The 24,432-nt window shown below is 46.9% G+C and overlaps 2 protein-coding genes across 13 annotated transcripts in view, besides 1 other annotated feature; one reads left to right on the forward strand and one right to left on the reverse strand.

Moving 5' to 3' along the window:
- CEP63 (centrosomal protein 63) overlaps positions 1–24,432 on the forward strand; it is a 296,836-nt gene that overhangs the window by 98,770 nt on the left and 173,634 nt on the right. For all 8 annotated transcript variants that reach the window (XR_007095732.1, XR_002959589.2, XR_007095733.1 and 5 more), the window contains one exon: positions 13,308–13,491. The gene's annotated coding sequence lies outside the window, so the exon portion shown is untranslated. The remainder of the gene's footprint in view (positions 1–13,307; positions 13,492–24,432) is intronic.
- The window catches only part of KY (kyphoscoliosis peptidase), a 51,100-nt gene continuing 42,097 nt past the window's right edge, over positions 15,430–24,432 (reverse strand). For 3 of the 5 annotated variants that reach the window (NM_001350859.2, NM_178554.6, NM_001366276.1), the window contains 2 exons: positions 24,156–24,346; positions 15,430–19,981 (listed from right to left, as the gene is read on the reverse strand). In NM_001350859.2, coding sequence (NP_001337788.1) covers positions 19,086–19,981; positions 24,156–24,346 — 1,087 coding nt within the window. In that variant the 3' untranslated portion in view covers positions 15,430–19,085. Of the gene's footprint in view, positions 19,982–21,446; positions 24,347–24,432 lie in introns of those variants that run through there. The other 2 variants (NM_001350860.2, NM_001366277.2) reach the window with 1 other exon arrangement.
- Positions 19,574–19,868: a silencer, noted in NCBI's record as "tiled region #9743; HepG2 Repressive non-DNase unmatched - State 21:Repr, and K562 Repressive non-DNase unmatched - State 22:ReprW". NCBI's record gives its function as "represses a minimal TATA promoter and a strong SV40 promoter by Sharpr-MPRA in HepG2 and K562 cells {active_cell/tissue: HepG2 | K562}" and the evidence as "EXISTENCE:reporter gene assay evidence [ECO:0000049][PMID:27701403]".

A 24,432-nucleotide genomic window follows, 5' to 3' on the forward strand; every position in this document is an offset into this window, starting at 1 on the left:
TGTTGAACCAGTCTTGAATCCCAGGGATGAAGCCAACTTGATCATGGCACATAAGCTTTTTGATGTGCTGCTAGATTCGGTTTGCCAGTATTTTATTGAGGATTTTTGCACCAGTGTTTATCAGGGATATTGGTTTAAAATTCCCTCTTTCTTATTATGTCTCTGCCAGGCTTTGGTATCAGGATGATGCTGGCCTCATAAAATGAGTTAGGGAGGATCCCCTCTTTTTCTATTGATTGGAATAGTTTCAGAAGAAATGGTACCAGCTCCTCTTTGTACCTCTGGTTGAATTCGGCTGTGAATCCATCTGGTCCTGGACTTTTTTTGGTTGGTAGGCTATTAATTTTTGCCTCAGTTCCAGAGCCTGTTATTGGTCTATTCAGAGATTCAACTTCTTCCTGGTTTAGTCTTGGGAGGGTGTATGTGTCCAGGAATTTATCCATTTCTTCTAGATTTTCTAGGGTTTTTTTTTTTTTTTTTTGCATGGAGGTGTTTATAGTATTCTCTCACGGTAGTTTGTATTTCTGTGGGATTGGTGGTGATATCCCCTTTATCATTTTTAATTGCGTCTATTTGATTCCTCTCTTCTTCTTTATTAGTCTTGCTAGTGGTCTATCAATTTTGTTGACCTTTTCAAAAAACCAGCTCCTGGATTCATTGATTTTTTGAAGGGATTTTTGTGTCCCTATCTCCTTCAGTTTTGCTCTGATCTTAGTTATTTCTTGCCTTCTGCTAGCTTTTGAATGTGTTTGCTCTTGCTTCTCTAGTTCTTTTAATTGTGATGTTAGGGTGTCAATTTTAGATCTTTCCTGCCTTCTCTTGTGGGCATTTAGTGCTATAAATTTCCCTCTACACACTGCTTTGAATGTGTCCCAGAGATTCTGGTATGTTGTGTCTTTGTTCTCATTGGTTTCAAAGAACATCTTTATTTCTGCCTTCATTTTGTCATTTACCCACTAGTCATTCAGGAGCAAGTTGTTCAGTTTCCATGTAGTTGTTTCCATGTAGTTGAGTGAGTTCCTTAATCCTGAGTTCTAATTTGATTGCATTGTAGTCTGAGAGATAGTTTGTTGTGATTTCTGTTCTCTTACATTTGCTGAGGAGTGCTTTACTTCCAATTATGTGGTCAATTTTAGAATAAGTGCGATGTGGTGCTGAGAAGAATGTATATTCTGTTGATTTGGGGTGGAGAGTTCTGTAGATGTCTATTAGGTCTGCTTGGTGCAGAGCTGAGTTCAAGTCCTGGATATCCTTGTTAACCTTCTATCTCGTTGATCTGTCCAATATTGACAGAAGGTTGTTAAAGTCTCCCATTATTATTGTGTGGGAGTCTAAGTCTCTTTGTAGGTCTCTAAGGACTTGCTTTATGAATCTGGGTGCTCCTGTATTGGGTGCATATATATTTAGGATAGTTAATTAGCTCTTCTTGTTGAATTGATCCCTTTACCATTATGTAATGGCCTTCTTTGTCTCTTTAGATCTTTGTTGCCTTAAAGTCTGTCTTATCAGAGACTAGGATTGCAACTCCTGCTTTTTTTTGCTTTCTATTTGCTTAGTAGATCTTCCTCCATCCCTTTATTTTGAGCCTATGTGTGTCTCTGCATGTGAGATGGATCTCCTGAATACAGCACACTGATGGGTCTTGACTATCTAATTTTCCAGTCTGTGACTTTTAATTGGGGCATTTAGCCCATTTACACTTAAGGTTAATATTGTTATGTGTGAATTTGATCTTGTCATTATAATGTTAGCTGGTAATTTTGCCCGTTAATTGATGCAGTTTCTTTATAGCATCGATGGTCTTTACAATTTGGCATGTTTTTGCAGTGGCTGGTACCAGTTGTTCCTTTCCATGTTTAGTGCTTCCTTCAGGAGCTCTTGTAAGGCAGGCCTGGTGGTGACAAAATCTCTCAGCATTTGCTTGTCTGTAAAGGATTTTATTTCTCCTTCACTTATGAAGCTTAGTTTGGCTGGAAATGAAATTCTGGGTTGGAAATTGTTTTCTTTAAGAATGTTGAATATTGGCCCCACTCTCTTCTGGCTTGTAGGGTTTTTGCTGAGAGATCTGCTGTTAGTCTGATGGGCTTCCCTTTGTGGTAACCCAACTTTTCTCTCTGGCTGCCTTTAACATTTTTTCCTTCATTTCAACCTTGATGAATCTGACAATTATTGGTCTTGGGGTTGCTCTTCTCGAGGAGTATCTCTGTGGTGTTCTCTGTATTTCCTGAATTTGAATGTTGGCCTGCCTTGCTAGGTTGGGGAAGTTCTCCTGTATAATATCCTGAAGAGTGTTTTCGAACTTGGTTCCATTCTCCTCGTCACTTTCAGGTACACCAATCAAACATAGATTTGGTCTTTTCACATAGTCCCATATTTCTTGTAGGCTTTGTTTGTTTCTTTTTACTCTTTTTTCTCTAATCTTATCTTCTTGCTTTATTTCATTAATTTGATCTTCAATCACTGATATCCTTTCTTCCACTTGATCGAATTGGCTATTGAAGGTTGTGCATGCATCACGAAGTTCTCGTGCCATGGTTTTCAGCTCCATCAGGTCATTTAATGTCTTCTCTATGCTGTTTATTCTAGTTAGCCATTCGTCTAACCTTTTTTCAAGGTTTTTAGCTTCCTTGCGATGGGTTAGAACATGCTTCGTTCGCTCAGAGAAGTCTGTTATGACTGACCTTCTGAAGCCTACTTCTGTCAACTCGTCAAAGTCATTCTCTGTCCAGTTTTTTTCCGTTGCTGGCGAGGAGCTCTGATCCTTTGGAGGAGAAGAGGTGCTCTAGTTTTTAGAATTTTCAGCTTTTCTGCTCTGGTTTCTCCCCATCTTTGTGGTTTTATCTACCTTTGGTCTTTGATGTTGGTGACCTACATATGGGGTTTTGGTGTGGATGTCCTTTTTGTTGATGTTGATGTTATTCCTTCCTGTTTATTAGTTTTCCTTCTAACAGTCAGGTCTCTCAGCTGCAGGTCTGTTGGAGTTTGCTGGAGGTCCACTCCAGACGCTGTTTGCCTGGGTATCACCAGCGGAGGCTGCAGAACAGCAAATATTGCTGCCTGATCCTTCCCCCGGAAGCTTCATCCCAGAGGGGCACCTGCCTGTATGAGGTGTCTGTCGGCCCCTACTGGGAGGTGTCTCTCTGTTAGGCTACACAGGGGTCAGGAACCCACTTGAGGAGGCAGTCTGTCTGTTCTCAGAGCTCAAACACCATGCTGGGAGAACCACTGCTCTCTTTGGAGCTCACCTGGAAATGCAGAAATCACCTGTCTTCTCCATCGATCACGCTGGGAGCTACAGACTGGAGCTGTTCCTATTTGGCCATCTTGGAATGGACCCCCCTATAAAAAAAAAAAAAAGGAAATGGATGTTTTTAATACATCTCTCTCAGTAAACCTAAGTAAAGATGTAAGAGATTTGAGAAACAAGACTAACAAACTTGAATTAATGGACATATGAAGAAGATTCCACCCCAAAATGTCAGAATATGTCCCTCTTCAAATACAAGTAAAACTAATATTGGCTGAGCATGGTGATGACGTCTGTAATTCCAGCACTTTGGGAGGCCAATGTGGGCGATCATTTGAGGCCAGGAGTTCGAGACCAGCCTGACCAACATGGCAAAACCCCGTCTCTACTAAAAATACAGAAATCAGCTGGGTGTGGTGGCACGTACCTGTAATCTCAGCTACTCAGGAGGCTGAGGCAGGAGAATCACTTGAGGGGGATAGAGGTTGCAGTGAGCTGAGACAGTGCGGCTGCACTCCAGGCTGGGTGACAGAACAAGACTCTATCTCAAAAATAAATAAATAAATAAATGAAAATAAAACTAATATTAAACATATGTTGAGACACAAATGCTCAACAAATTCAAATGAATAAAATAATATAATCCTTGACTGAGTAGAATTAAACTAGAAATACATTTTAGATGGTATTTAAAAAAAATATCTAAGTGTTCGGAAATTAGGCAATACACTTGTAAATACACTTGGGTGAAAGAAATAAATCACAATTGAAAGTAGAGAATATTTTGAACTGAATGATCATGAAATGACTACACTCTTGGTGTGCAATTGAAGTTGTGCTCGCTGGGAAACTGGTAGCTTTAAATTTATATTTTAAAAAAGAAAAGCATTGAGAAAGTAAATGATCTAAATACTTATTTTAAAAAGGTAAGAAAGAGCAAACTAAACGTCAAGAAAATGGAAGGAAGACATAAGGAGTAGCAATTAATGAATTAGAAAATGAATGTTCAATAGAGAAAACAACAAAATCAAAAGTTAGTTCTTTAAAAAGGCTAATAAGATTGATTGAACCTCTGACTAGACTTATCAAGAAAAAAATGTAAAGATACAAATTACAAATATCAGGAATAAAAATAATAAAAAGCAAACAAGTGCAGATCTTACAGACAGTAACAAAAAGGCATCAATAACTCCTTGCCAACAGCTGTAAACATTTAAACACAATGGATACATTCTTTTAAAAACTCATCATACAAAATGGACACAAGAAGAATTAGAAAATCTGAAGAGTCATAAATAATTTTAAAACTGATCCTTAATTGAAAAACTTCCTACAACAAAAGTATCAGGCTCAGATGGCTTCATCAGTGAATGTTTCCAAATATTTAAGGAAGAAGTAAGCCTATACAACAAACTCTTTCAGAGAATGACAAAAGGGGAAATAATTCTCTTCTCATTTTATAAGACCAGCATAACCTTGAAACCAAATCTGACAAGGACATTTCAAAAAAAGACAAGTACAGACTCTCTTATGAATATAGATGTTAAAGCCCTAAACAAATTATGACCATATCAAATGATATATAAGAAGTGATATATAAAAAGAATAATCTATTATGACCAAGCTGAGTTTATTCCAAGCATGCAAGTTTTGTTTAACATCATCTGGAATAGTGAAATATTGAGCACTTTCTCCCTGAGATTGGGAACAAGAAAATAATACCTACTACCATCATAACTTCTACCCAGCACAATCAGATCAGGAAAAGAAATAAAAGGTAGAATGACAGAGAAGAAAAATTACTTATTCATCACTTCATACCAGTCAGAATGGCTATTATTAAAATGTCAAAAAAAAAACATATTGGCAAGGGTGTGGAGGAAAGGGAATGCTTATACACTGCTGGTGGGAATATAAATTATTTCAGCCATTATGGAAAGCAATTTGGTGATTTCTCAAAGAACTTAAAACAGAAATACCATTCGACCCAGCAATCTCATTGTTGGGTATATCCCCAAAGGGATATTAACTTTTCTACCATAAAGACACATGCATGCGTATGTTCATTATAGCACTATTCACAATAGCAAAGGCATGGAATCAACCTAAATACTCATCAATGGTAGACTGAATAAAGAAAATGTGGTACATATACACCATGGAATACTATGAAGCCATAAAAAAGCATCAAATCATGTCTTTTCAGAAACATGGATGGAGCTGGAGGCTATTATCCTAAGTGAACTAACATAGGAACAGAAAACCAAATATCACATGTTATCACTTATATGTGGGAGCTAAAGATTGAGCACAAAGAAGGGAACAACAGACACTGGGGCCTACTTGAGGATGGAGGGTGGGAGGAGGGTGAGGATCGAAACACCTATTGGGTACTATGCTTATCACCTGGGCGACAAAATAATCTGTACATTGCCAAACCACCATGACACTCAATTTACCTACATAAAAAACCTGTACATATACCCCTTAACCTAAAACAGAAGTTGAAAAAAATAATTATTCACAGGCAACATGATTGTGTGTGTAGAAAATCCAAAAGGACCTCCCTATAAATGATTAGAATTAATTAGTAAATTTAGTAAGATAATTGGATACTAGGTCAATGCATGACAATAGTTCTATTTCTACTCATTAGAAATAAGCAATTAGAAAATTAAATTAAAAATTTATATCATTTACCACATTATCAAAAATATACCTGCAAATACCCAGAAACATATCTAATAAAAGATGTTCAAGACTCCACAAAAATCTACCAAGCATTACTAAGAGAAAGCGGGAATTTGCTCACTCTAGAGTGGAAGATGGGAAAGGAAGAATGGGGCTGGAATAGCTCTCAGACGTCCAAACACAGTGCCTAACAACACATCAATACTTGGCATTTACATTATTATGGCCATGTAAATGTCAACATACAGTACACTACAATTACATTTACTTTCTTTGTACAACTTTTCCTCATGGAGCTAGCATTTGCTTAGTTTTTTGCATACCTTTCACCAGATGGTCCTCCAAAGTCCTTAATGGCACTATACAATTCCCTCAATAAAGTCAGCTACATCAGGTAACCACTTTATCAGTCTCATTTTATTTTTTCCTATGACATACCTCCTGGACAGGTCTGCCCTGCTCCTGTCTGGACTGTGTTCATCCTGCTCACTGCACAGCTGTTCTCCAGACACATCCCATTACTATCCTCTTAGGAATTCCCTTTGTCTCTTCTTTGTGAAGGAGCTTCCTGGTTCCAAGCAGACCTCTTTCTTGGTCTCTGTCCCTCACTGGGTGGAGCACTCCACCAGAGAGATGGCTCATGAGAGGCAGATTTTCTCTGAGACCTTGAATGTTTCTAAATGTTCTTATTCTACTCTCACCCTTGATTGAGATTTTAACTGAGGATAAAACTGTAGGTAGGAAATTATTCTGCAGAATGTTGAAGGTATGTCACCACTGTTTCCTCACTTCCAGCATTGCTAGTGTGAAGTCATTCTGATTCCTCATCTGTTGCAAGTGACTTGCTTTATTTCTTCTCTGGAAGACCTGTTTGTCTCTAGTGATCTGAAATTCATAATCACAAGCCTTAGAGTGGGTCTGTTTTCATTCACTGCTCTGTGAGTGTCCCACAATCCTGGGAAATTCATTGAATTATGTCTTTAATAATTTAATCCTCAGCAGATTCTGGCGCAAGCTAGGCATGGTGACAGTGTTTGCTGTTGTTATGATTCTCTTTGTGGAGCTCCTGTAGGTCAGACATTTTCCTCAGGTCTGGGGATCTTTGGAAGTCTTCTCAAAGTCCTTTTTAATATTGAGATACAGGACAGGCACAATGGCTCATGCCTGTAATCCCAGCACTTTGGGAGGCCGAGGTGGGTGGAGTGCTTGAGCTCAGGAGTTCAAGACCAGCCTGGGCAACAAAGTGAGACACCATCTCTACAAAACAAACAAACAAAAACAACAAAAAAAACAAAAAAAATTGGTCGGGTGTGGTGGTACATGCCTGTAGTTCCAGCTACTTGGGAGGCTGAGGTGGGAAGGTGGCTTAAGCCTGGGAGGCAGAGGTTGCAGTGAGCTGAGATCATGCCACTACACTTTAGCTTGGGCAACAGAGCCAGAGCCAGACCCTGTCCCCCCAAAAAATAAAATAAAATAAAACCAGACTGAGATACTAAAATGCTCTATTAGCTATCTACGGCTGTGTAACAAATTACCCCCAGATTTAGCAGCTTCAAATAATAAGTTTTCTGTGACCTTACAATTTTTCAGGGTCAGGAATTTAGGAATGGCTAAAGTGGGTGGTTTTGGCTCTGGGTCTTTCATGAGGTTCCAGTCAAGAAGCTCACCAGGGCTGCAAAATCCTCACAGGAGCTGCTTCCAAGATAGCTCACTCACATGGCTGTTGGCAGGAGGACTCACTCAGTTCCTCAAAATGTGGGCCTCTCCAGAGGCTGCTCGAGCATCTTTACAACTAGCAGCTGGCTTTGCTGAGAGCAAGTGATCTGGAGAGAATAAGGAGGAGGCTATAATGCCTTTTATATCCTAGTTTTGAGTGTCACACACCATCATTTCTGCGACATTCTATTTGTCAGAAGAGAGTCACTAAGTATGGCCTGCACATAAAAGGATGGGAATTAGGCTCTTCCTTTTGAATGTAGGAGCACCAAAGAATTCATGGACATTTTTTCAAACAACCACAAATGCCATCTGCAAACTGGTGTGTGTGTGTGTGTGTGTGTGTGTGTGTGTGTGTGTGTGTGTGTATGGAGGAACTGACTGACTGGCTTCCCAAAGATGGGCAAATGGGGTGCTGGTCTTTTCACTGGGGTGGTGGTTACAGATGGTACCTGTAGGCCTTTTTTCTTAGGTTGATCTGTTTTCTCAGTGATACCCTCCAGTTTTTGCTTTGAGGACAAAAGTCAGCCAGCCAGGTTTGGGGAGTTAAATAACATCAGGGTTTGAGGTGGTCTCACCATTCAGTATGCAGATTGTATTTTTGAAAACAATTCATTAATTTTTTTAACTATTAATTTTCTTCATGTGGTTTCGTATGTTGATTTACAGCTCTCTCGAGTGGAAGGTTTTCTTTTTCTTTTCATCTGCTCTTTTGGCTCCCTTCCGTGTCTGAGTATATTGCAGTTGCTCCTACCTAGTCCCCGGAACCCTCAGACTAGAGCCAGGCTTTGTACTGGTGATTCCGGGCTCCCACTACATGGTTGTCCCATCATATAATAGACAACTCACTGAGCCCAGTGGGTGGATTGGCTCAGCTGCCCTAATTTAAGGCAGTTTTGTATAGGTAAGGCCTTAACATAGGTGTCCAGTAATGGACAGCTGCCTCATGGAGTGGAGAGCTCCTGGTCCCTGGAAGGATTCTAGGAAAGACTGGGTGATTGCGTCTTGGATATGGGATTTCTGCATTGAAATCAGTGATTGCCACAATTTTATGAGGGGCTTGAGACTTTTGGATTCCTTAGGGAACAATACATCAGTGTCATCCTCATTATGCTGATGATGACTGATGCATCGTGATGGTAGCCAATAATTACTGAGTACTTACTATGTGCCCGGGACTTTTCTAGTCATTGTACCATATGTTAGCTCATTTAATCCCCATAAGAAGTGTACACAGTAGGTGCTATGAGTATCCCTGTTTTACTGATGAGGAAACAAAAACAGGGAGGTTCAGTAACTTGCACAAATCAGCTGGGAGCTGGCAGAACTGGGGTTAGGAATCAGGCGGTCAGCTCCAGGTGTGTGCTCTTAGCTGGCACACTCTCCTACCTGCTGTCAAACAGGGGCTGAGCCACAGGCTTCCCCAGGCTCATGACTGCCAACGCTGAGGAGGAGGAGGGGTCCACAGGGCTTCTCCAAGTGAAATCAATGTGTATAGAGGAAAACTCGAGGCTTCAATCACACATTAATGGCTCCTGACCACACAAGACAGATTTCAGTCTAACAGGGGACCAGTGGCTAAGAGGCCATCTTTCCAGAGGAAGCCCATTCACTTCTTTTAAAGATAGACTTTAACACTCTTGTTGAGCTTTAAAAATGTCAAGTGAAGCTTTCACTGCCAGAGTGGATGCCCTCCCACAATCAGGTTAACGTGTTCTCTCCACTGTGTTGCTCCTGGGAGATGGAGAAGGGGATCTGATACTCATGAAATGAATGCCAAAAGGTTCATGGTACCCACACTTGCCCAGTCCCTAGGGTGGGGCTATCCCAAAGGGCATAGGAGGAGGGGACAGCCTTCAAGTGCTGCCAGTATCTTGGCTTCATTTAACTTTTTAAATAGAATAAAATGGTGGATGTTAATTTCCAGATCTCCTTGGTGTTCACATACATTCAAATACAAATATAAATATGAGCAAAGTGTTCACTAGGAAATCTGTAATCCCACCGTCATTTTGTTCTAAATAAACGCTTCCTCATTTTTCCTCACCACCATCCTTTACCCAGATGGGAGCTGCCAGGGGCTCCCCACTCCTAATATCTGCACTTCGTCAGTCATTCAGCCCAGCTGTTCTTGTGTACTCACAGTTGTGGCTGCCCCTCTGCCCTCATGCCACCAGCCTCTCCATAGCTGCCCCTGCCACCATAAAGGGGGACGTCACTGCCTTGGTCCCTGCACAGCCAGGGCGAAATGATGGCTGATTCGTTGTGTCACAGAGGCAGTCAGCCATTCCCCCTGATAGAAACAAAGCAATCTCGGCACATGCTCAGGGCGGGCGGATTCCCCCGAGAAGAACGGCACTCCTCCCATTGATTGGTTGCCCATGCACTGATTGTTTCCCAGAGGCAAACACCATGAGCACTCCCAGCCAGGTGGCAATTTTTCTCCTCTTGTAAATATACATTTCCCACAGGGGCAAAGGAGTACACTGCTGTGCATATGCTTTCCTAGTTGAGCAAAAGAAGGAAATGACTATTTAGGATGTTGTAACTCAACAGCTGTTTTGGTCAACAGCCATGTAAACAACCCAGAGATCTATCATTTTGTTTTTGAAATGACAAGGCAATGTTCACTTCAAAAATTTACTGATCACTTATTCTAAATGCAAGGCACTGTTTAATCATGGAGATAAAAGAGCAAACACACTCAGCCTAGGCTCCTTCTCCCTAGAGTTGATATGCCTGTGTGCATTTGTGTCCTCTGAGCTGGGTGGCATGCATGTTGCGTGGAATCCTCCTGGAGCTCAGGTGAGGTCAGGAGGCCCCCAGCACATCCTGGGACCTTTGGTTTGAAAGCTGACTGGTTGTCAGTCCATGGGCTAGCTTAATGGGAAGCCAGTGCTCCCCACTGGTCTGAATAGCCTCTGATATGGTTTGGCTGTGTCCCCAACCAAATGTCATCTTGAATTGTAGTTTCCATAATCTCCACGTGTCATGGGAGGGACCAAGTGGGAGGTAATTTAATCATGGGGGTGGTTACTCTCATGCTGTTCTCGTGATAGTGAGTGAGTTCTCACAAGATCTGATGATTTTATAAGGGGTGTTTCCCCCTTTTGCTCAGCACTTTTCCTTGCTGCCGCCATGAGAAGAAGTATGTGTTTTCTTCCCCTTCTGACATGATTGTTAAGTTTCCTGAGGCCTCCCCAGCCATGCTGAACTGTGAGTCAATTAAATCTTTTTCCTTTATAAATTACCCAGTCTCGGGTATGTCTTTATTAGCAGTGTGAGAACGGACTAAACAGTCTCCTTCATTATTTTGGTCTGAGCCCTGATTTAGCTACCTTTAAGCTGGGATTGGCAAATACATGGCACACCTCACCCTTCAATCCATTGTCTATGGATCACTAGCTAGTCATGACACTCTTTCCTAGTGAACCCAGTTGTGGCCTCAGAATCTGTCTAAACCCAGTACCCCTGGCAATGATGACTAAACATCTAGAGTGCTGGTTTAATTGGAGAGAGGGAATCTCTTGGTGGGCCCTGTCTAGGTGGCCTTCTCATTCTCAATCCTTCATGGCTTGGCTTTGCCACTGGATACACTGGATACCACTGGATACCACTTCGTGGTGCTTTGTCTTTTTTACACTTCATCCTGCAGGGGCTCCTCTTCAGAGGATCAGCCTTGAGGACAACTGTGCTCAAAGAAACCATGAGTTTGAGTGTTCCCTGGAGCATTACTTTCCAATATATCAACGGTCTTCAAGACAGCCCCACATACTCAGGCTTTGCTGTAGAAGATGTTAATGCCTTTAGATCCTAAATAGCTATATTTGCCATTTTGCAGCTCTTTCCCGAGAAAACAGGTTCTTCTGGGGCTTTAGAAGCTTTCCCGTGGAAAGGTTTGTTTGTTGGTCTCTGGGTGGGTGGGTGGGAATGGGATCAGCAGGTGCCCTCAGCTAAATTTTTATGTCACTCTGGGTTAAATAGAAGCATCAAGCTTAGGTTATATAATCTTCAAACAGGGCCATGGGGAAAATTTGGAGCGGGAACAAATCTAGATAAAGGAAAGAAAATTCCATTAAAACTGTTCACAGCCAAAGAATGCCTGACAACCCTCTGCTACCCACCTTTACAGGCAGGGTGGCCATCCTTCTCTAGTCAAGACCAAGTCCTACTTTCAGGACTTGTTCTATCTTCCAAGTAGTCAGTATGTGTCCTCTTTTAGATGCTGGACTTGGTAAAGGGCCTCTTCCTTTGAAGACCACTGTTAGCTGCATCCTCAGCCTCCTCCAGGGTGGTTACTTCACCCCACATTCCCAGCCCTCCCCAGGATGTGGCCCTCCTCTGAGAGAATCTTGGGTTCCCCTCCTCAATGTCCAGTATGTGGCATACAGAGTTGGGCAAAAACACAAGGGCTAGACCTGGTGAAATGGGAACATGCTTTGACAAATGCTCAGTGGATGGTTATGGACTGCTAGGCAGTAGTACTTTCCTGGCCCTGTCTTCCTAGTCTGTCTTAGTTTTCCCAGTGAAACACTTGCCAAGCGTTTACCAAACACCTACTGTGTGCCGAGGAGCAGAACCAAAGCATATATATTCAAGGAATTCACATCCTAGGGGCAGAACCTCCAAGTACTTCCTGAATCCCAGAATCTTGTAGAAGGTTCTGGGTTAACAGATGAGCAACAAAGTGTGACATGAACATGGAAGATAGGCAGATAATTCCCCATGGCTTGGGCAGTGGGAGGACTAGGAAGGTCTGACAGAGTGGTGGGCTGGCCTGATCCACAAAGGCCAGGCAGGGCTTCCTCAGGCAGGAAAAGACGTCCTGGCTAGAAAGGACAGCATGTATAAAGCACGCTGGTGGGAGGTACATGGACTGCCTGGTGTCACATGGTTGATGATTCTAAGGGGCTCTCAGGGAGAGTGATGGGAGACAAAGTGGAGAAAGCAGTGTGAGGCCAGAGTGGGGGTCTAGTCTCATCCCTGAGCAATGGGGAACCATTGGTCGGTTTTAAGTAAGAGTGCAGCATGGAGCGATCCTCTTGGCTGTTGTGTTGAGGCTTCCCTGGATGGCAGGGGCAAGAGGGAGAGAAGGAGAAATAAGAAAGAAGCTGCCTTTCATCAAATTAGTCCACAACACCTTGAAAGTGGGCCCTTGGAGTACATATTTCTCCTATGTAGAGGCCGCTGTCCCTTCCACAAACCATCTTGTGAAGACTTTTCAGTGATTGCTGGATCCCAGATGGCTTTGGGTATGCTGACTGCACACACAGAACCCTCACCCAGTCTTTCCTGAACCCTCCATAGCATAGGCAAGTTAACTTGTGTGTGCTGCACAGGTCTCCCTTCTGGAAGAAGTTGCTGATTCTCTGCAAGGAGTGCAGGTCGCGGAGAGACTCCAGGTGTTAGCACCTTCAAGGTCTGCCTGAGCTTTTGAACTGAGGCCAAGCTCTTGCCAGGCAGCCCCAGCAAGTGGCTGAGCATGATGGTTTCTCTAGGGCCTGGCCATTTCTGTACAGCTCCAGACTCTTCTAATACAAATCTTTGTTTTGGAACTTCCTGTTGGGTTGGCTGGGACTTGGTCAGACTTGCACCATTGTCTGAGCTTCTCTCTGACTCATCCTGCTTCCCCCCTCCCTTTTAACTTCCACAGGTATTGCCTCCAGCACACTGTTTACATTCCTACTGTGTCTCAGCATCTGTTCTCCTGGGAATAGAACTGGTCCACCTGAACATATGATCTGTGCTGCTGTTGGTGCAGGAGGACAGGAGGGAAATAAGCTGGAAGCCATGGATGTGGAGAGTCTGGCTTCAAGATGGAGCTTGTTTACCTGCAGGTAGGGCTCCACCTCTGCACCCCATTGAGTCCCCCGCCTGGCTGTGGTACGAAGAGCCACCCTGCATACCCTCACCCAGTAGTGAAGTAGGCCGAGGCAGCCAGTGTGGGGTCCAGCGAGTGACATGCATCATCGAAGGTGCTTATTATTTTGATGAAACACAATACATTTCTTTCAGCCCGTAAAATCAAAGGTGTGCAAAAAGGCTGTTTTCAGGGTGTAAAACACCCCTCGTTTCCCTGTGGTGGTGCATAACTATTATGCCTCTGGGGCCTTTGTGCATTTTTCGGGCATGAGTGACACGAGGCTGACTGGGTGGCCTTGGCACCTTGTCTCTTTAGAGAAAAAGGAGACAGTGCTTCTTTCCGATTCCCTATAAAAACCAGTTTTTTGTTGAAGACCTGCCTTTCCCGCTAGTGCCTAATACCAATTATGTCTTTCCAGAGATGGTGAGATTGTTCTGAAAGGATTTCTTGGAAACCTTGTCTTAACAACCCTATCGTCCTAGTGTGATAAGAATATATGAATGGGAGGCCATTGTGGACAGTAATAGGGCCGGGAGGCTTCATCTCCCCATGGAAAGTATAAGACACAAACAGTATAGCTGAGATCATGAGGACCTGGTTTGTAGCAGGTCGTGGGAAAGGAGAGAAGGTGGAGTTGGGAGAGCAGGTGGGAGGTGAGACACATCCAGAAGGGACTGGGTTTCATCACCAGTGACTGCCATGAGTCTAACTTAGTTATCTGGTTGGATAGGGATGCATTTACTGAACTGGGGACCCAGGAGGAGTTGGGAGTAATTTGAGGGAGAGAAGTAACTCCAGTTTAGCATCTTTTGACTCGGAGATGCCTGTGGGACACCCCAAAGAGGACATCCCCGTTAACTTTCAGTTTCCTTTAGTTCTGCTTGCAAAATCAGACAGAACCAGCATCCTGTCAGAGGCTGTTCTTCCCCTTTGGTCCCTCTGCTGGGCTTTCTCCAGCCCCTTGCCCTCAGGCAAGAGAGGAGCCAGCAGTGCAGTCTGCCAGGGGCTCCAGGGGCAGGCTCTTAACACAGCAGGGCCCTTCAGATGTTCCACAGCAGGGCCCTTCAGATGTTCTGTAACTGACAACCCCAGGCCCACTGCCTGCCAGCATCTGTTCACAGAGACACGGCATCACAAACTCTCCGGACTGGAAGGGACATTGGAGGTCATCCACTCCAGCTTTGGGGATGGCATTTTCAGACTGTTCTAATAACTCAAGAGCTACTCCTTCTTTTGTGTGGAAGACTGTTTCTTCTGACTTCCTCTTAATATGCTGCCGGGTCTCCTTCCTAAGGAGAAGCATGCTGGGCCTCGTTTTTGTGGATCTAGCAGCGAGAGACATGACGAAGCCAGATTTGGGAACACAAGTTCTTTTTGTCCTTCACACTACAGCTACGAGAATGGTCTCCATGGTTACAGCAGCTTCTCAGAAATGTCTGGATTTTTCATTTTCTGTATTTCTCTAAATGTCTAGTTTATGAATAATCTGCTTAGGTGACCGGCTGGAAAGTTTCTGCATGTATATGAATATCAAGAAGTACATATTTATATACATTCAAAAGAAAAGTAGGCTGATAGGCATTTTTGGTAATTTTTTTTCTCCCACTGTAAAAATAAATTAGGATTGACTTTAAAATTTTCAAGTTAAACAAGATTCAATGAAAGAAACAGTGCCTTCGTGTTCTTCAAAGGCATGTGAACCATAGAGTGGCTGGAGCTAACCTGATTATGTTTTCTTTAATGTGAAATAGCTATTTGCCTGACATTCCATTCGCATCTCACCGTCGCATTCAACTGGCTGGGACATTGATTTTTTTCTAGGGCTTCCTTTGAACATGAAAGCATTTTTCCTGTTTCTCTCCATTTCCCACCTTGTGAGATACATGATAAGAATGAATCGATAATTACATTGTTGGATAAAAATGAATATAAATTTTATTGAAAAACAACACCAGCAACAACATGGAGAAAGCATACTCAACAGCCACCGGCCCACACAACTCAATGCACACATTATGAGAAGTAATCACCTCTTTCAATTGCCGACTACTTACTCCAAATGAAAAGAAATTATAGACCTAAGATAAACTGAGGCGGGCAATAGAGGCACACCATCTTCGAAAATTTTGCCAATAGCAAATGATGTAGTGATGCTGTTAACCCTCTGTTTGCTGCAGGCAGACCAGGATATCTCAGGAATTAATTGGTTTGGAGAGGAGAAAACCCACTCCTTCTAGTGAACATGGCATCTAAAACCTCAGACCACTGGGAAAACTTTTCTCCTTTTCAAGTCCTTTGAGAAGAGGATTTCACAAACTTTCTTGGCAACTTGTCCCTCCTGCTTAACAACAGGAAATAGTTCTTTATGTCTAGCCGAAATCCTTCATGCTTCAGTTAGTCTATTTATTTACTTTTAATCTTAGCAGGCAGTGAGGAGGCTGTCCTGGTAGGACAATGTAACATATGGGGAACTCACAATGATCATAATCAGATTGAAAATGGAGTCCAGCTGAGCTATGGCACTTCTGAAACAAGCTGGAAAGAAGTGTACTGAAGTTGTGGTTGTAGTGCCTCTGCCCACCACTCCTCCACCCTCGGTTCCCTTCTGCCCTGTGGCCTGGGGGCTGCCATCCTGAGAATTGCAAGCAGATACTTTCTGAGTTTGATCGGTTCCAATCCTTCAATGGTATAGTAATGAGTGTAGTCACAGCTGTTCCATCCAGTCCTATGTCAAGTGCTTCTGTTTCAAGAAGTTATTTCCAGGCAAAACAGTCCCATCACATCCCTTGTCTTTTCAACACACCAGGTTGTCCCCCAGGATGCCCTCACAGCTTGTGCGTGACAAAGATGTCCTCCGTGTACACATAAGGTAGCGCTGAGAAGCCACGAGAAAGCACCTAGTGATTTTAACATAAACATTTCCACAGCATTTTCAAGTTCTGCGAAAAAGCCCGGTGATAGATCAGCCTCGCGGTGTGCAGCGCCGGCAGCTCCGCACTTCGGACACCTGGGGGCGCCCGTGCCATTCCGCCGGCGACTGGGACTCGTCGCCCGGGAAACAAAGATGGGGATTTAAAGAAAAGCCTTCAAAATGCAACTCCGAATGTCTACCCTGAGCAGCATGCGTGTAAAAATTCATGAAGATTAGATTTCATTTCATGTATTTTTACTTCAGTGGAAAGAAATGCAGGTGATTTTCTGACTGCGCCTACAGCTGTCTTTACAAAGGGGGTGCCTAGTTAAACGAGAGGGAGGGGCTTGCTGATGCCCTGCGGTGCTTTGAGGGGCGGGGCCTCCCTCTCTGGTGCTGGGGACAGCTCCTATTTTGCTGGGTGGCATTCTCTGCAATGCTCCAGGATGTATTGATTAATTATATTGCATATCGAAAAGGTATGGGGGTCTCCAGCAGGACTAAGCGAGGCAGCCAGCGCGGGGTCCAGTGAGTGACATGCGTCATCGAAGGCACTTATTGTTTTGATGAAACAAACACATTTCTTTAAGCCCATAAAATCAGAAGTGTGCAAGACGGCTGTTTTCAGGGTGTAAAACTCCCTTTGTTTCCCTGTGGTGGTGCATAGCTGTTATGCCTCCGGGGCCTTTGTGCATTTTTCAGGTGTGAGTGACACGAGGCTGGCTGGGTGGCCTCGGTGGCAGAGACTGCGGAGGGCGCAGGACCTGCCCAGGACAGTTCAGCCCCCCAGGGGAGACACCCCTTTTGCTCGAGGCCGCCGGCCTGTTGGATGATGGGCACCCTTGTGAGCTGGTTCTGGGCTAGGCCACCGTGCTGGGTGGCAGTGGGGACTTTTAGGGGAGGGATCCCGGGGGATAATGAACAGAAGTGTCTGGAGCCTGGATCTTCAGTCAGGCCTGGGCAGGGAAGGCTGCTGCTGCCTGGCAGTTTCCTCACCCTGTACTCTGGATGGCAGGGGCCGGGCCCCCTTGGTTCACCTCTGTAGCCCAAGCATCTGGTACTTCTGTGAGCATTTGTTGGATACAGGGATGTGAGGGTGAGTGCCACGGAGGAAGCTATGAGGGTCCCAGCTGGCCCTGGCTGTGGTTGAGCCTGGAGGCCTGTGGAGGGGCTGTGGGGAGAGGTGCCAGGCAGTGCTGGCTCTCAGGGGTTGGGGGGCACTGAGACAGCCAGGGGCCACGGAGCTGGAGAAGCCGGGAGTTCAGCAGGGAGCATGTCTGTGTGCCAGGATGGTTCTGCAGTGGCCATGTGGGGCCTCTCTCGCCTTTCCCTCTTATCTGCCCTCGCTGAAGTCAGCCTTTCCTCCGTTGCCATGGCAACGGCAGCCTGAGGCGCTGCTGAGGGCCAGCTGGGCAGCTGAGGCCTCTCAGTCTGTGCCTGAGCAAGCAAGGAGCCCTGAGCTGTCCCCATGCAAGGTGAGACTGGAGGGGGCTGTCTTCTCAGAGAAGGGAGGAAAGGAGACGGGATAGGATGTTTTCTCCGAGACAGGCACAAAAGCTGCTCTCGTGCAGCTGGAATTCTTCCCAGCCCTGGCTTTGCTGGTAGAGACACTGGGGGCAGGCAGAGCCCTGTTAAAGTGTGAGTCTCCTCGGCATTGCCGCACTGCACTACTCACCTGATCTGCGCCCAGGTCCTTATTCAGGGCTATCCACAAGACTCCCCAAGGGCCTGGCCAGCCTCTGGAGGCTCTCTGTGGAGGTGGGGCAGGGGCCTGAGGCCCAGGCTCTGTGAGGGCCTGGAGGGCACTCCAGGCCTTAGACTGAACTACCTGCCCTGTGTACTCCTCTCAGAGCAGAGCTGGAGGTCTTACACCCTCAGACCAAGGCTGCAGCTCTGCCGACAGTGTCCCTCCCACCTGCACAGCCACAGCGGGCATGGGCTGCTCTTTGCTTTGCAGTCTCCTCACAACTTTCTGGTTGTCACATTCCTGACTATACTTAGGGATGTTGGAGACGATCAGCTTCCAGCCAGTTGTGGGTCAGCTGGCTTCCTCACCACACCCTTTTTCTTGGGCTCTTGAAGAACAAGAAGTAGCTAATGAAGAGGCAGCAGGATGCAGAAGATGATCAGGTCTGGGAGGAGAAGATAGTCCAAGATTCCCTGGGGGCTCGGAGCTGTCGAGAGGCACGGTGATATTGCTTGAAAGGGGCTCTGTGATTCAAGGACAACCCAGCCTTGCAAATCATGTCCCCTTGGGCATGGAAGAGAATTCTCTAAGCATCATGTGAAAAGCTGTCAACCTGGGCAATATCCCTGCTTTCCCTCATCAACCCTACAGCAACAACAACAGCAGCAGCACTAATACGAGAAGGGGCATCTGGATGCAGGTGTACAGTTTACAATACCTTAGATTTACATAGCACCTTTTCCTTCTAAAGAGCCACTGCCTCTGCCCCCTCAGTCACAGCCACACCTGAGTGAAGCCTTCAGAACACAAAGATCACAGCTCCTGTGGCAGAGGTGGGACACTGAGGCAGAGGCCTAGAAGGGATTTCATGCAGACTCAGTGGTGTCCAGGGCTCCCTGCACTTCCTTCGAGCCCTCCCTGGGGAGGTCTGGCCTTGGCCCTTTGGGAGGGTAAGACCGGGGCACAGCCCTCACTGGGCATTCACTTTGTATTTCAGGATGTAGGAGTAGAAATTGTGGTTGGCATTCTCCAGCACCATGACATAGACTTCCTGGCAGCCAGCTGTGCTGCAGCTTCCCTCCCAGTAGCCCTCGTGGTTCAGGGTCAGGGGCCATGTGTCCTGCCCCTTCACCAGGACTTTGGCAATACCATGCAGCTTCAATTTGAATGGGACATTCCGGTTGGCAGGAAGCACACCTGACAGAGGTTCCAGCAGCTCATTGTCCTGTCCCCAGTTGCCAAAGCTCTCAGGGAACATGGGCCAGTTCACCTTGGTGTTGGCACAGCATACAAGGTAATTAAAGACGAAGATGTAGTTTCCTGGTTCCTGCCTCTTCTTGACAAAGATCTTGAGGGCAAACTTGCCTGCATGGGGCAGCTGGACTTTCAGCTCGGTCTGCTTCTCCCGGTGCAGCTGGAAGATGTAGCGCCGCTGTGTCTCCTCAGTGATGGGGCCATCATCCCCGTGGAGGGAAGCCAGGACATTAATGCCCTCCTCCACGCTGAAGCTGATGGAGCAGCGCCCGTCGCTGGTGTGGATGATAGGGTCAGGGTGGGAGGGCTTCATGATGCCCATCTGCTCCGAGAACCAGCTGGGGCCCACGGGCTGGTGAAGCTCAGCAGGCAGCTGGACACCCATGTCCACATAATTGCACTTGAGCGTGTACTCCAGCACTGAGCTGTAGATGTCGGAGTTGCCCTTGGCAAAGATCTGCAGCTTGTGAGTGCCCATGGTTGGAGGGTACACCTCCAACTTCATCCCATTCTTCCTTAGGCTCAGCAGCCCATGCTCTTGCTTGCCATTGAGCATGAACATGAACAGCGTCGGGGCGCAGCTCTCAATGGTGACCGTGGCCTTCCCATTCACTGAGGAGAGAAAGTCAGGGTCAGCAGAGATGGGTCCAGCACGTGCTGATGTGCTGGTAAATGTTTAACAACTGTCTCCCTGGGAGAAAAACGTCCTGACTTATAGAGCTTGTCTATTTCCACGGTGTTAATACTTTCACCACAGTCCATTTCAAGCAACCAATATGACTTCACTGAGCATGGCATCAGCCAGCGGCAGCACACCGCTGGAAGGGTTCCCTGCTCCCTTCAGGTGGTTTTCTTTGAGAGAAATGAAAGCTAAGGGGCCTCTAGAAAAATTTATCCCAAGCTGTATGTGTGCATCCTGCCCAATTGATTCACATTAGATGAAGGTTGCCTGTGTCCAGAGAGGGTCATGGGTCAGGAGGGGCACCATCTCCCCCAAGTCTCAGGTCTAGCTTGCACCTTGCTCCCTGTAGCATCTGTCTAAGTGTCAATGCTGTCATGTCAACGCATTGTCCTTAAAACTAGTGAGAATGGCTTCACTCCCTGAGACTGTGCATAGGAGGTTGGGGTGGGGCAGTTCCCTGATCCCCACCTCCCCCACCCCATGCTTCTCACATAGGTGTATCTTAGCCATGTTTCAGGAATGGGTCCTGAAGAGTCAGTGTGTGCACAGGAGGGTCTTTTGCAACCCCCACACTGCCACCCCCCATCTCTCCCCTTGCTCTGAAGTTTCATCTTCGTCTGTCCTGGTCATTGATTTTGAGGGACAGGTGGTCAGTTCTCCAGTCTTTGTAGCCCATGAGGACCCACCTGCCTGGTCCCTCCTGGCTTCCAGGGCCACAGGGAGGGACCGTGGCTTCTCTTAGAGCCTGGTCTTAATTCTCTCAGAAGCTGGTCATCTGCTCCCAGCCCCAGCAACCTCCCCAGCCCCGTTCACAGTTGAGTGCAAAGGAAGGAGAGAGGCTGTCTGATCCATGTCCCTAGGAACTTTCCCCTAGCTTGGACTCTTGGTAGGGGAGGCAGAACACTGTGCCTGGGCTCTAGGACAAAGGCCTTAATAGACTTCTCATTGAATCTGCATTCCATGCCAACTCCCACCTCAGGAATGGGAGAAGACCACATGGGCCAGCATGATGGGGAGGCTGCTTAGACAGCCCCTCTACCTTCTTCGTGGCTGTCCCAGCTCAAAAGCTGTCCCAACCCTGTCACATACTGCCCACTCCGCACCTGCCCTACACTCCCACACATCCCCCCACTGCCTCCATTTCCCCTCTGCCGGTCAGCTCTCTGGCACTGCAGTGACTTCCCTCTGCCCCCACCCTCCAGTGACTTCCTAATAACGAGGCCTCTCAGACCTTGGAGGACCTAGGCTGCTGGCCTCCACGCCTTCCTCTGAGTACTCTCCCCTCTTTGCGACCCCCACTCTTTGAGGACTGGCCCTCATCCCACTCTCTGAGCACTGCTTAACTCCAATGCCATTGCTTCCCCTTCTGTTACACTGAAATTGTGTGACTCTTGGTGCTTTCATGCTATTTTATTTGTCTACATGCTTTCTCTACTGCCTTCAGCCACTGCATGCCACATCTGTCCCATGGTAACCTCCAAAGGAAAGTGACCAAGATCAATAGAGTTGCTATCCCCTCTTGGTGAAAACCCTCCTCTCCCCTCACTTCTGAACCAGCTCAGTGGGCAGAAGCTACCTCAGCTCCTCACTGCTCACGGCCCCTGGTCCTGTTCCATCTCACAACTGGCTGTGAGTCTTTTCTGCACAGTGAAGCCCAGATCCCCCTGAGATTCACCTTTGATTGTGGAGCACCACCCAGCACCCCACACAGCAGCCCCAGGGCTCCTTTGAAAACGTCCACCTGGCTACTCCTGGGCTCACGGCAGAGCCCTCAAGCTGGAGACCCGTGGAGAAGCCTGTCTCTTCCTGCCTCGCCAGTATCAAGCACTCTCTCAGATCCTCCAAGGCCACAACCCTTCATGCCTCAGGTTCCTCCTACCCTCTCCTCCCTCCCCACCACTTCCCCCAAACCTGGATAAGGCTTCATGGTAATGTCCCCGTGGCAAAGCAGCCCACCCGGACCCCTCAGCTGAGGCTGAGTTCCCTGGCAGCTTCTCTCCTAGCCCTGGCTGTCCTTCAGGGAACGTTCCACTGCTGTAATTCATCATGTGATCATTTTTGTGTAGTGTCCGAACTCCTTGCTGGCCTGTGGGCTCTGTGGTGAAGGGGCTAGCCTGTTTCATTTCCTGCCACGTCTTAGTGCCTGGTTGTGGTGCCTCACCCAGAGGGTTCTTGCCAAAGGTGTGTTGAATGACTGGGAAGACTTGAAATAAAGGACTAGCCACCCCTGCAGACCTCTATGGGAGTCCACGGCTCTTCCAGTCCCCTCTTCCTCCTCCTCCTCCCCTCTCCCCTCCACGGCACTCTCCTAGAGCCTGGCAGCTTTCCAGCCCCTTATCTAGGTGCCCTCTTCCTTCCCTTCCTTTCTGCTCATCTCAGTTTCCCTATTTTGTTTCCTTCCCCTCCCCTCTCTTAACAGAACTAGCTACCACAAAGAAATACTCTGTACATAAGTATCAGATATATGGAATCATATTTAGGTTTAGATTTCTATAAATTAAGGAATCTGGTGTTTATATTTTTATGTCTCTTAAAAAGGCAAACTCCACTCAATGACATCAGTTTGGTGTTGCTTTGACCTGGTCAGTTCTTTCCGATATTTCCACGGCCTATGATACATTGAACAAGCCCTGCATCTGTTGTAAGCACAGGAAATGGATTCTCAAATTGAGCAACTTCACGCTGTTATTTTAGCTGCAGGAGCTGCCAGGTATTTGGAGTTGGAAGAGTTTGCAAGAGCTCAGCAACTTGGCAAAGGAAGTCATTGTGTGGTGGAAGGGACAAGTCAGTTGGAACTAACTTGGGGACACCTGTGCTCCCCGCTGCCCCATTGCCCTGCAATGTGGGTTGGAGCTCCCCAGGGGCTCTGGGCCCACCCACAGGCACCCTGTGCTAATAGTCAGTGTGAGCTCAGACCTCCTGTCCTGGGCGGATGGAGGCCCCAGTGGCAGAGACGGTGCCACCAGGCAGTCCTTTGCTGAGGTGTGGGAGGCTGGACTGACCCGACTTACAGGGCTGTGCAGCGTGCCCAGGCTGTGTGCCCAGCACTGGATCAGGTGCCAAGGCCTTGGAGAGGCATAAGAGACAATCTTCCAGAGAAGGCCCTGCTTTTTTGTGACCAGTTCTGGCCCTCCAGGGCAGCCCCCGTATGCCTCAGAGTGTGCAAACATACTCAGCTGCCATGGCTCCGTGGTGAAGGTTGGGAGAGCACATGTCAGCCCAGGCCAGCCATGGGAGATGGCTAAGCTGGGTATCCTATACTGCCCCAGGGGAGTGGGCTGGAAACGGCTGGGTCCCGCCTCCAGAAGGGAGGGGTACTGAGCCAGCCAGGCAGAGGTGCTGGAGCTTGGCCCTCATCCAGGGGTGCCTGAGTTTGGAGGCTGGGGGCTTACTGTGTCCCCGCCTCTCCTCTGCTGCCTAGAACATGTCCATCTCTGTCTAGCTACTAGGCCTGTTCTCCTCTCCCAAGACCCAGCTCAGTGGCCACCTCCCTAAGGAAGTCTGCCCCAACTCTCTGTCTTGGGTGGGACTGCCCCCACCTGTCCTGGGAGACCCATGTTGCTCCCCATCCTTGCTGGTTGGACCACCAACACCCAGATTCCAGCTCTGCTGAGGCCATGTATTCTCTCCAGCAGGAGTTGGGGAAGAGAACACAGCAGGCCAGTAGCTTCTGTTGGGGACCTGAGCCCAGAGGCTATGTGTAGCCAGGGTGACGTAGTCCTTTTCCCTGCTATGTGAACTGAGAGAGACTCACCCAGCTAGGAAGTGCCCAGCCCTGGCTTCTGTGACATGCCAGGCTGTGTGTTCAGCCTTCAAGTTCTAGGAAACCTGCAGCCTTCAGACACATCCCTTTCTGGGTTTATGCTAGTGTGAGTGAGCTTTTGTCCCTGCTGATGTGGCCTATGGCCCTTCCCTGCCCTGATGGCCTGGGCTGCCTCAGCAGCCTCCACTCATCCACATGCACACACAAGCTTTGTGCTAAGCTCACAAGCCATGCGTCTGGAAGGGCATGCCTTGAAAGCGCAGTCTCAGGCGGGCTCCTGGAGGACAGTGCGAAATGCTCCATTCCTGCTGCTAGCACACTGGCACCTGCTCCGGGCTCACCTGTTCTGATCATGGAAGTCTCTGGGTGGGCACTCAGCATCCCTTTGTTGTAGAATTCACTCTTGTGATACATGTTGTTCTCAAACTGCCTCAGAGATTGAGGAGGTTTTAGCAGCTGCCAGTTCTTGTTGTCTGGGAAGTGGTCCTCGATGAACAGTGCAGGGTGGGTGAGGAAGTAGAACTCATTGTAGCTGGAGCAGAGACAAGCTGGTTAGCAGCCAGCTCCATGCAGGGGAGGCAGGGGCCCAATACACCCACCGGAGTGGTCCTATGGACA

The sequence above is a fragment of the Homo sapiens genome, chromosome 3 (assembly GCF_000001405.40).
Source record: "Homo sapiens chromosome 3, GRCh38.p14 Primary Assembly".
NCBI lineage: Eukaryota > Metazoa > Chordata > Mammalia > Primates > Hominidae > Homo > Homo sapiens.